This window comes from Homo sapiens, chromosome 14, assembly GCF_000001405.40.
Source record: "Homo sapiens chromosome 14, GRCh38.p14 Primary Assembly".
NCBI lineage: Eukaryota > Metazoa > Chordata > Mammalia > Primates > Hominidae > Homo > Homo sapiens.
The window spans coordinates 61,072,292-61,084,778 of NC_000014.9; the positions used below are offsets into that span (position 1 = coordinate 61,072,292).

Genomic DNA, 12,487 nt, shown 5'->3' on the forward strand with positions numbered 1-12,487 from the left:
TGTTTCGATACAGACATGCAATGTGAAACAGTCACACCATGGAGAATGGGGTATCCATCCCCTCAAGCATTTATCCTTTGTGTTACAAACAATCCAATTATACTTAGTTATTTTTAAATGTGCGATTAAGTAATTATTGACTATAGTCATCCTGTTATGCTATCAAATAGTAGGTCTTACTCATATTTTCTATTTTTTTGTGCTCATTTACCATTTTCACCCTGCCCCTACTACCCCACAACCCTTGTCAGCCTCTGGTAACCATCCTTCTGCTCTGTATGTCCATGAATTCAACTGTTTTGATTTTTAGATCCCACAGATAAGTGAGAACATTTGATGTTTGTCTTTCTGTGTCTGGTTTATTTCACTTAACATAATGGTCTCCAGTTCCATCCATGTTGTTGCAAATGAAAAGATCTCATTGTTTTTATGGCTGAATAGCACTCCATTGTGTATATGTTCCACATTTTCTTTATTCATTCATCTGTTGATGGACACTTAGGTTACTTCCAAATCTTGGCTATTATGAACAGTACTGCAACAAACATGGGAGTGCAGATAGCTCTTCAGTATACCTATTTTCTTTCTTTTGGGTATACACTCAGCAGTGGGATTGCTGGACCATATGGTAGCTCTATTTTTAGTTTTTTGAGGAACCTCCAAACTGTTCTCTACAGTGGTTGTACTAATTTACATCCCCCCCAACAGTGCATAAAGGTCCCCTTTCCCCTTTTCTCCACATCCTCTCCGGCATTTATTATTATCTGTATTTTTTATAAAAGCCATTTTTATTGGGGTGAGATGATATGGCAATTTTGATTTGCATTTCTCTGATGATCAGTGATGTTGAGCACCTTTTCATATGTCTGTTAGCCATTTGTTTGTCCTCTTTTGAGAAATGTCTATTCAAATATTTTGCCCATTTTTTGATTGGATTATTATATTTTTTCCAATGGAGTTGTTTGAGTTCCTCATATATTCTGATTCTTAATCCCACTTCAGATGGGTAGTTTGCAGATATTTTCTTCTGAAAGCACTTTTATTATGATATTAAACCTACTGAGGAAGGTGGAGCCCTCATGGCCTAATCACCTCTTAAAGGCTCCATCTCCCAATACCATTACATTGGCAATTAAATTTCAACGTGAGTTTTGGGGGGAACAAACATTTAACCCATAGCAGACACCATTCATTTATATTTTTCTTCCAGGATCCTGTATTATCATTAACTCAGAAAGGCCAACTAATCCTTGGATCTATTATCAAATTTGGTTTGTTTGAATAATTAAGTATAAATTAGCTAAATGGAAAGGCTCTCCTCTGTAAGTTCTTTACCATCTTTTTATGATGAAAAATTTTAAACATGAATGCAAGTTGAAATAATATGCCCATATACCTACCACTGAAACTTAGCATTTGGTCGTATTTATTTTGTGACTCACATATAAATTATATTTATATGTAAATATACAGTTAACTTTAGAACAACATGGGTTTTCTAACTGTGTGGGTCCACTTATATGGGGATTTTTTTCTGCCTCTGCCACCCCGAGAAGGCAAGACCAACCCCTCCCCTGCCTTCTTCTCAGCCTCCTCAACATGAAGACAATGAGAATGAAGACCTTTATGATGATCCAGTTTCACTTAATAGTAAATATGTTTTCTCTTTCTTATGATTTTCTTAATGACATTTTTGTTTCTCTAGCTTACTTTATTGTAAGAAAATAGTATATAATACAAATAACATACAAAATGTGTGTTAATCAACTGTTATTGGTAGGGCTTACAGTCAACAGTAGGCTATTAGCAGTTAAGTTTTGGTGGGAGAGTCAAAAATTGTACACAGATTTTCAACTGTGTGGTGGGTGGGCACCTCTGACCCCCACATTGTTCAAAGGTCAACTGTAAATACATTTATATTTGCTGAATAATTTGCAAAGTAAGTTACTGACATTCCATGAAGCAGTAAGTAAAGTTGAAAATTATTTTTTGTAAAAGTCACCATCTACCTTAGCTCAGGCTACTATAACAAAATACCATAGATTGGATGGCTTAACAGAAATTTATTTCTCATAGCTCTGGAAGCTGGGAAGTCCAAGAACATGGTGCTGGCTAGAATTATTTTGGTCCTGGTGAGGGCCTCTTCCTGGCTTGCAAATGGCTGCCTTCTTGTGTCCTCACATGGTGGAGAAAGAGTGATCTCTGTTCCTCTTCCTATAAAGCCACTAATCCCATTATGAGGGTCTCACCCTCATCACTTAATCTAACCCTGATTATCTCCCAAAGACCCCATCTTGAAATACTTGTGGGTTAGGGCCTCAATATGAATTGAGGGGTTGGAGGAGACACAATTCTGTCCACAGAACTTTCTGTGAACAAGCCTATTATTCCCTCCCTCCCTCCCTCCCTCCCTCCCTCCCTTCCTTCCTTCCTTCTCTTTCTTTTCTTTCTTTCTTCTTTCACAAATGTTGTCCCTTTCTCCAAAAGGATAAGAAGCTGCTTGATGCAGCTGTCACCAGAACTTCTCTTAGTAAGGGAAATATCCTTAATGTCTTTTTTTTTTTGGTGGTGGTGGGGAATATCTTGATAAGTCATTTAGGTATGAACGGTGAATTCTTATACAGTGGCACAGCAATGTGAGTTTACTAAATGCCTGTGAATTGTATACTTTAAAGAGGGTCATTTTATGTTATGTGAATTTCACCTCAATCAAAAAAAATGTGACCCTATGAAAATGGTTGGCAAGAGGAGAGGAAGTGAGAGAGATAGCTAAACCACTCTGCATAAAAGAGAAAATGTGAATTTGGGAACTGGAGAAAAGCAAAGGGAAAGAGGCAGAGAGTGCTAACCCAGTGGTGGGAGTCTAGAGGAAAAGTGGCTGACGGGCATTTTAAGAACAGAAGCGTTTAATATTCAGTTTTAATTTGCCTGTCTCTGTCTCCTGAAACTAATAAAGTCAGTAGACACAAAAATACCTTGTGTGAACAGAATTGTGCATGTAAACCCTTCTTTAGACTCACATGGGACAGAACACATACAGCCTTATGCTATCCAGGTGATCCAGAAACCTCAAAAAGTGAAATTCAAAGGCAGAGATGGCCAAGAAAAAATGTAAGCCACTTGCTTCCTCCCAGAGTCCGTGGGCACATCAGGAGGGTTGTGGGACGATCCTCATATGAGGGATGTGATTGAACCAACTTTTCCTAATTCTCAAAGTGTATTGAACTTTCCTTGACATCTCATTGGCAATATATTGTCATTTCATTGCTTTAAGGGCTCATTATTTACTAGTCATCAATTGTACCTGTAGGGGAATGCCTCTTTTTAGAGACAAGAGACCAGACCTCCACAGAGGTAGATCTTGGAGATTGGAGCAGTTCTAGAATTTCTAACATTTCCCCTTACGGTCATCTTGCTAGGTTCTCTGTAACAAAGCCTGGTAGTTCAGAAATCAGGCTCCAAGAACGTGCCATAGATCAACCTGTTTGTGTGTGTGTGTGTGTGTGTGTGTGTGTGTGTGTGTGTGTGTGTGTGTGTGTGTATGTATTTGGGATCAGAGCCACTCAACTTCCTTTTTTTTTGAAACGGAGTTTCACTTTTTTTGCCCAGACTGGAGTGCAATGCTGTGATCTCGGCTCACTGTAACCTCCACCTCCCAGGTTCAAGCAATTCTCCTGCCTCAGCCTCCCAAGTAGCTGGGATTACAGGCATGAGCCACCACACCCAGCTAATTTTGTATTTTTAGTAGAGACGAGGTTTCTCCATGTTCATCAGGCTGGTCTTGAACTCCCGACCTCAGGTGATCTGCCCGTCTTGGCCTCCCAAAGTGCTGGGATTGCAGGCATGAGCCACCACACCCGGCCTTCAACTCAACTTCTACTTAGATGGTGGCAGTAGGAATCAGAGGGAGTGGGGCCCCTAGGGAAGAGCACTCCCATGGAAAAAGAGTAGAAACAAATTTTATAATTCCCTGGTTTTCTTACCCAGTTCTCCAACCTGCTAAAATCTGAAAAAGTTTCATACTTTAAATGAATGGAAGATCATTAGTCTCATAAAATAATATGACACTACTGAGCTGGCACTTCGGTGTATAGACCAGGTTCTATGCCAAGCACATTCTCATGTAATCTGAGGTAAGCACAGTTATATTCCCCATTTAATAGATTAGAAATTAAAGTTTAGAGAGACTGTAAGGTTAAATGACTTGTTCAAGGTTATACATCCTTAAGATGCCATCCTAAGAATAGAAACTGAAGTTTGACTATAAAGGCTGTGTGCTTAATTACCATGTAAATAAAGTGTATCCAACTGTTGGAGTTTTTTTCTACAAAAAGGTTCTGCTCATAGCAGATACATAGTCAATATTGACTGTGTTGAAGGCTGCTTTATTCATTTAAAATGTGGCACCTAAATCTGTTCTGTTACATCAGCCAGACAGTATTTTGGCCGGCCTTGTGTCCTCTTGAGTCATGGTTCATTGCCACAGCACTGTTGTTTCTCCTTTGTTAAGTATTTCAGAGGAAATTCTGGACAAAGGAAAGGTATATGGGTCTTCAAGTAGAGCAGGGATGTGTTCCAGTAGTTGTCAACTAGACTGAGAAAACTTGGATGTCTTACGAAACAATGTCAGAAATCCATTTCTGTGTTCTGTGACTTTCTACAAACACAATTTTTAAAAATCCAAATATAGCTTAGACCATCAGTAGTCTAATTCAGTGTTTCCCAGATTTGAGATTTCTTTTGGAACTTTAGAACGTCAAAATGAATCTTGGGACATTGATAAGATTGCAGACTTTTTATTTTATAAATTGATTAAGGATATTAAACTTGCCACTTTCAATATAAAAAATTAAGGAAGGTTATAACCTTTGTGAAAAACTTGCTACATAGTTATTTATCTCATCAAAGACCAGTGAAAACTTTCTCATAGACCAACACTTGGAAACTATCAGTCTAAATAACCAGTCTATATTCAAAAATTCAGTAAAGATTTCTTCACTTCTAATGCTCATTGACTTCAGTTATCTTATAGGTGGAAAGAAGTAGATACAAAAACAGATCTTGATTACAAAATTCGTTGATGACCTAGTTGACTCTTTCCCCAGTCATTACTAATCCTAACCTTTGGGAGCGAAAAATATCTAAATAAGTTCTGGTTTACAAATTTGCAAAATTTTTGTCAACACTTCAGAATTCAGAAAAAAACACAGGACATTTTTACTATATAACTTCCTAAGTTTATATGATATATCAAAAGTCAGTAAGGATTATACCATAATAATATTTACATTTCACAGGGAAGCAAAATACTTGGAGCCTCTCCTTGTCTTTGTCTAAAGATTTGTCATTCATTTGCATTCAAATAAATTCTTTGCTTTCATTCATCCAGAATGGTTCTCAATTTATTAGCTCATGAGACTACATAAATAGACTTGTATTCATACATTTTAATTTCAGTGTAAAATGGCTTTCCTCAATTTTTTTTTCTACTCAACTCTCCCAAAAGATGTCTAATCACTCCCACACTCAGTTACTTAAACATTTCATAATGTTGTTACTTCTATAGTAAAACAAAAAGTAATTTGCTTTTAATAAATCAGAGAGCCCTACTGTAGCAATCTAGAACTTTATTCTGGCGAGAGCAAATTCTCAAATTATATTTCCAGCCTCATTTGTGAATAGCTGATTTTCCCTGTCACAAAGCATTGTTAGGTAGGTACAGTATTTTTCTTTAGTTGGTAAACTACTGGAACTTACAATCCAATGGAGGTGACCTCTATACAATACCTGGGACGGTAATACCCTGAAGCGCAGGGTGTGGCTATTGCATGTGCCACATGCACATGAGGCCATCTGTGCGTGCTTGTTGAAAGAATGACATATCTTGGTGAGTAATATGAACATTAAAAGCTCTGCTGGATAAGCTCATAGAGGTGGGGTTCACTGCCTTCTGGGTGAGTGGGGAAGACTTTGTGAAGAAAGCAACAACTGAAGTAAAATTGAAGGATAACCAAAGTAGAAATGAGAATGAAAGGAAGATACTCCTGTTTGGAAAGAAAATACTAACAATATGTACAGGAAAATACAAGGTATACTTTGGAGATGACAAGTAAAAATTTTGCCAGGAGCACAGATGTAATAGCAATTTGAGAAGTAAAGCTGAAGGGTAGGATCCTGATGTAGAGAATGCTGGACCCAGGCTGAGCTTGGACTTTACATCAAGTAGAAGTGGTAGAGAAAGATTAATTGCCTCTCTGCATTGGACTAGTGCCATCGTCTTCCAAAAGCTAAAAAGAAGCACTTTAGGCCTTCAAGGGCTAGTTATCTAAAAACCACACTTGATTTGTTCTTAAGTCTCAGCTCCTGGGCATATGAGGAACTTTTTCTGGAGTTTTGGAAAATTCCTCATGCCCTCAGATCCTATTAAGACCTCTGGCATCTTTTTTTTTTTAATTATTTAATTTATTTATTTTTATTTTTTATTTTATTTATTTATTTATTTATTTATTTTGAGACAGGGTCTCATTCTGTCGCACAGGTTGGCGTGCAGTGGTGTGATCTCAGCTCATTGCAACCTCTGCCTCCCGGACTCAAGCAATCCTCCCACCTCAGCCTCCAGAGTAGCTGAGACTACAGGTATGCGCCACCATGCCCAGCTAATTTTTGTACTTTTTGTAGAGACAGGGTTTCACCATGTTGCCCAGGCTAGTCTCGAACTCCTGAGCTCAAGCAATCCGCCCACTTTGGCCTCCCAAAATTCTGGGATTACAGGCGTGAGCCACCGAGCCAGGTCAAGACCTCTGGCATCTTAAGAGACTTCCTATGAGTTCCTGCCTCCAAACTTTTTTTTTTTTTTTTTTTTTTGAGACAGAGTCTCGCTCTGTCGCCCAGGCTGGAGTGCAGTGGCGGGTATTGGCTTACTGCAACCTCTGCCTCCCGGGTTCAAGCGATTCTCCTGCCTCCACCTCCTGAGTAGCTGGGATTACAGGCACACACTACTACACCTAGCTAATTTTTCTATTTTTATTAGAGGCGGGGTTTCACCATGTTGGTCAGGCTGGTCTCGAACTTCTGACCTCTGGTGATCTACCCACCTCAGCCTCCCAGAGTGCTGGGATTACAGGTGTGAGCCACTGTGCCCGGCCTCCTGCCTCCAAACTTTTGCACAAACCATTCATGTTGTTTTTCTCTTTCCCCTCCAAAGCGTTTCTTCTCCCTCAAAACCTGTTTCCACACTCAACCTCCTCTAGAAGGACTTACCTGACTATGACTTAATGTAACTGCTCCATTACTCAGGAAACCTATGCTCAACATCTTGATGCTACATTTAATTTCTCTAAATGATAAAATATACAAATTCTTGTATATTTGTATGTCTAACCACCCTGCGACAGCCTTTAGGAAAGGTTCCACATCTGCCAACTCCTTTGTATCCTCCATCCAGAACCTGCCTCCCATCCCTACTTTACCCATCCACCTCAGAGACTTCATGGTACAGTGCAGTATACTTGGTGAGTGTTGATGGTTTAAGAGTGTGCCCTGAACAACGAAGGATTTCTTTGAGGCTGAAATCCTGTGGGATCCATGGAATGGGAGTTTCACCTGTCTTTGGCTTCTGCTCCTTTCCCCAGCATGTGTAGAGCTTCTAGAACAGTCCCCAGCAAGAGAGGATCACTTGGTACACCTCTTTCTTATCCTCACTGTCTCCAGTCTCTGCTGTAGGCCTGCTAGTGATGATCAGGATACAGGTTTTAACATGGCCAAGCTGTTAATAACCTGAGATTGGGCACCATGAACAATAAGCATTAAAAGGCAATAACAACAACAACAACATAACCTGTTAATTTTATGCAGGCTTAATTTTTTAAAGAACTATTTCTTCCTAACTTGCTTTTACTCTTCTTCATCTACTTTCTCATACCTATGACTGACAATGATAAGGACACCCACCCACTATACACACCTAATTCCATCCCTCCAAATTTGATTTCGTGTTCTCTAGAGCTGGCGTGTTATGTGACCTATTGTGGGGAGAGGCTCAGCTGAGGGACTCTGTGATGCCAAATGGACAAAGGCACACTTTTTTCTCCAGGTCCCAGCCTGGTGAAAGTCATAGCACCTGAGAATTTGGAGCTGACTCTCTCCTTTGGAAATTGTGCCTTCCAAAAATATATCTTACACTGCCTGTACCTGCATGCAATAGGTTTTGGTTCTTACCAACTGCAGCTTCAGTCTGAACTTGAGTTCTACCCTCATGGATGCAAATCAAAACAGCTCAGAATCAAGTCTGGGAAGCAAGTCGAAGTGGTTTGATTTGCATGGGGAGCTTTTGTCTCTGCATGAAGGCAGCCAAATTCCCTAGGCTCCCCAGCCCTCCGGAAATATGCTTTACAGGACCCGGGGGCCCAGGCCCAGTCGGGTGGGTGTGATTTGAATGTTCTCTGCTACAGCTGCTGCACCGGGCCCTGGTCACTGCTGTTGGTTTCGCTCCATTTTACTGCCTCAGAATCCCCCTGTGCATGTTAGTGGTTAATACAGCAGCCAGGAGACGCCAGACAGCTCTCGGCACCTGGTTCAAATTTAAGGCTCATTTACACATGATGTCACACACGCATTGTCAGCGCGAGGGAGGTCAGGATGGTTCATTTTGGGAAGGTTCACATTGTTGAGTCTTTACAACACTCACTGCTATTAATGCTTTAACCATCTGACTTGGATTTCGGTTTTCTGGCATGAGGTAATCCCAGGCACTAGATTTATATGCTGAATGGGAAGCCAGCAATGGTGGCTAATCATGCTGGTTTGCAGATCTGCACCTCTGGAGCCTTGGGATGGAATTAGAGGGCCACATGGCAAGTAGCAAATCATAGGCGTTTTGAGCAGGAGAGGAATTAGCCAGACCTGGAAGCAGGGGCCATAGATGGGGTGTTGTCTGAGCCAGGAAGTTTGATTGAAGAATGGAAACCAAGGTAAATTGGACAAGGATCTGGGCCCAGAGACCACAGGAATTATTCTACTTTGACCAGTGCTTTGGGTCATTGCTTGAACTGTCCTTTTGCTCATCACTCATAGAAATCCCAGACCCATCTTCCCAGGTCCAGCGTAAGTCTTTCATGTTCCATGAAGCCTTTCCTGACCACCCATCCCACAGCAGGGGCTGAGGTGGTTAGATCACCAGAGGTCAGAAGTTCGAGACCAGCCTGACCAACATGGTGAAACCCCATCTCTAATAAAAATACAAAAATTAGCTAGGCGTAGTAGTGTGTGCCTGTAATCCCAGCTACTCAGGAGGTGGAGGCAGGAGAATCGCTTGAACCCGGGAGGCAGAGGTTGCAGTAAGCCAATACCCGCCACTGCACTCCAGCCTGGGCGACAGAGCGAGACTCTGTCTCAAAAAAAAATTTCTCTCCTGAATCCCTAAGTACTTTTGTTACTGAGTACTTAATTTGTGCGACTAGCTCATTTTACCCTCACAATTCCAAAGGGAAGGCTTTATTATTTCTCTTTTACAGATGACAAGACAGGTTCAGAGAGGTTAAATAATGTATCCAGTGTCAAACTTTTAAAAGTCAGGATGGAATCCTGATTCCAAGCTTAGGTTCTGAACCACTGGGGTAGGCTGTGTAGTACTACATTTTCTGTGGAACGTGGTATCGGTAACATGGGAGAGACAGGCTGTGCCTCAGGAAGATGCCACATGGGAGTGCACAGCAGTGCTGTAGTGCCTCGTGTTTATGTGTAGTCCCAGGTGCCTGGCTGTAAACAACTGCAGGGCAGTGACCATCACCTCTGCTTTTCTGCATCCCCACACTTCCTAACACAGTGTCCCCCAAAGTGTGCATCAATGGATGGATGAATATTAGCACCCCCGCACCACCCTCACCTAAAACATACTGAAAAGTTTGAGATCTTTGGATAACCACCCCATCCCCTGCTGTTGTCTTCTGTCATACGGCTGAAATCGTAAAACTGGTCTGCCTGTCACAGCTCCAGTGAGCCTACTTACTCACTGGAAATTCAGAGAATGTCTTTAGTCCTGTTGACTGCTTTGATTTTGTTTTTTAACTTGTACCAAGACCTGTTGCCATGATGGGTCTCTGCAAATGGGCTTTCTTGTTCCATGAGTCTCTGTTTTAGTCAAGTGAAGGGCACACTCCTTTTCATTGGCCACCTCTTACTTTTCCTCCAAGAGGAGTACTCACTCCCAGAACCCTTTGCTGGGCTCTCATGCCGAGCTTAGGTGCCCCTTCAGTGTGCTTCTGCAGCACTCATTACCCCGTAGTAGCATTGTAGTTTAATTCCTGTTTGCTTGACTGAAGCAGAGACTCACCTGCAGACGCCTGTAGGTGCCTTCCACGTTGCTCAGATGAACAGTAGAGAAGGGTCAGGCCTGCCCTAGGTTTCTACCCCTCTCCTCAAGGCCCTTTCTAGTCACCACGCCACATCCTGCTCATGACTGCAGGGATCATGCCTCTGGGCCTCTGTCCATGCAGCTGCCTCTGCCTGCACTCCAGGACAGGGGCCTTCTCTGCTGTCCACTGGAGCCCTGTGGAAGGGACTCCTGACCCTAGCCTTAGGGAAGTCATCTCTAAAGGCTGTTTTATTACAGTGTTTCCTCAGAATGACCCTATAGACACAGTGTTTTCTCAGTGTCCTCTCACCTTTGAACATATCCGGGAATAATTGAAAAAACCAGGCAATCAAATGTGCCTCTCATAAATCACCATCACTTCAGAGCAGAACTTAAGAGTTTGGTTTGCAAGCCACACCAAATAGTTTGAGCTTGGCCCTCTACCATTTCCTCCTGCTCTGAGCCCAGAGGTTCACCTAGTGGACTGTAGCAATGGATTCCCTTGCCCCTGGCTTCCTGTTGGGTTCAGCCAGAGAGCAGCACCAGTGGGAGCCTACAGAGGGAGGAAAGTGAGGTCAAGGTGTCTGCTGCCTCCTCCCTGCCTGCCAGGCCACTGTGGGTAGACTACACCTCAGGTGGCCCTCCCCATGTGTAGCCATGCTTGCCAGGTTCTGGGTTCTGGAAACCTCCACCTCCTCTTGCCCCTTCAGTCATAGGGTGGTAGCCCCCTTCATTGCTATTAGCTGTTATGCACTCAATTGTGTTCCAACCCCAAATTCGTAGGTTGAGGCCCCAATCCCCAGGACCTCAGAATGCAACTGTATTTGGAGATAGGGTCTTTAAAGAAGTAATTAAATTAAAATGAGGCCATTAAGCCCTAATTCAATGTGACTGGTGTTCTTGTAAGAAAAGGAAGAGATACCATGGAGATGTGCACCCAGAGGAAAGGCCACGCAAGGACACAGCAAGAAGGCAACTGTTTACAAGCCAAGGGAAGAGGCCTCAGGAGAACCAAACGTGTCCACACCTTGATCTTGCACTTCCCAACCTCCAGAACTGTGAGCAAATAAATGATGTTGTTTAATCACCCAGTTTGTGGTATTTTGTTGTGGCAGTTCTAGCAAACTAATACAGTGGTACTTACTATTCCATGGGGATTTCCCTAAATGTTGCTTATTACAGTGTGTAAGTCCTTCTGGTAAGCTTTCCTTTTGGGAAGTCATCTGTTTCTTGTTGGGACCCTGATGGATATCCAGGCTTAGATGCCAACAGGAGGTTTTAGTGACAAAGGCAAGAAAATCTGTCACTGGAAGTGTCTCCCTGCTACCGGTGTCCCTCCCTATCATGTGAACCCACCTGGGTACCCTAGTGCTACTCCAGGGTATTTCCTTTTCTTAGAAGGTGAGTGACTTTGGACTGATCATTCCCTGTGAGCTTCAGTTTTCCTCTTCGTAAAGCATAGGTAACAAAAGCTGCCTTTTTGGGGTATTTTGAGGCAACATGTTGGATGCAGATATGAATGGACTGCGATAACCCAGTAAGGAAACAAGGTTGCTCTTCTATAGCAGTATTTGTAAACAATTTCATTGATACATACGCACAAAGCATTGAAATCTTTGAAGGCAAGAAAATGGTGATGTTTACTAGGGAAGGCAGCTCTGAGTCTAGCATAGGGGAGACTGTGCGATTTGCCCAGCAACTTTCTATGCCCTCCTCCCAAGTCCAGGAAACCTTGAAAACCACAGTGCAGCAGAGACAGAGACCCGTGTACCAACCTATTCTCAGTCAGGTTTTCATTAGCTCTTCATAAACAACCAGTCAATCAATTTCAACTTTTACTTCACAGTCTCCTGCTGTAGAGGCCCCATACATACAACCGGTGAATGGAGCATCTCTTTCCCTTCTTCCTTTTCGTTTGGGAATGAAGTCAAATCTGGAGGCCAGAGCAGCTCAGACACCTAAATAGGTACACAGTATGCAGTAAGATGAGATTCTGTTTCTGGCTCCTCATTCCTATTTCCAATAAATGAAGCTTCTCAACCATGTTATTTTCACCTGCCCAAGCTAAAACACAATCTTCACTGTCCCCATAGCTCCAAAGAGGGAAATCCTGACATAACATGGGGATGCTGCTAG

General features: G+C 42.2%; 1 protein-coding gene across 13 annotated transcripts in view; it reads left to right on the top strand.

Annotated features, from left to right (window-relative positions):
• SLC38A6 (solute carrier family 38 member 6) overlaps positions 1–11,442 on the top strand; it is a 102,489-nt gene extending 91,047 nt beyond the window's left edge. For 6 of the 13 annotated variants that reach the window (XM_017021022.2, XM_017021020.2, XM_017021021.2 and 3 more), the window contains 2 exons: positions 6,539–6,636; positions 11,259–11,442. In XM_017021022.2, coding sequence (XP_016876511.1) covers positions 6,539–6,628 — 90 coding nt within the window. In that variant the 3' untranslated portion in view covers positions 6,629–6,636; positions 11,259–11,442. Of the gene's footprint in view, positions 1–6,518; positions 6,637–7,444 lie in introns of all 13 variants that reach the window. The other 7 variants (XM_047431001.1, XM_047431003.1, XR_007063987.1 and 4 more) reach the window with 6 other exon arrangements.
• The last annotated feature ends 1,045 nt before the right edge of the window (positions 11,443–12,487 follow it).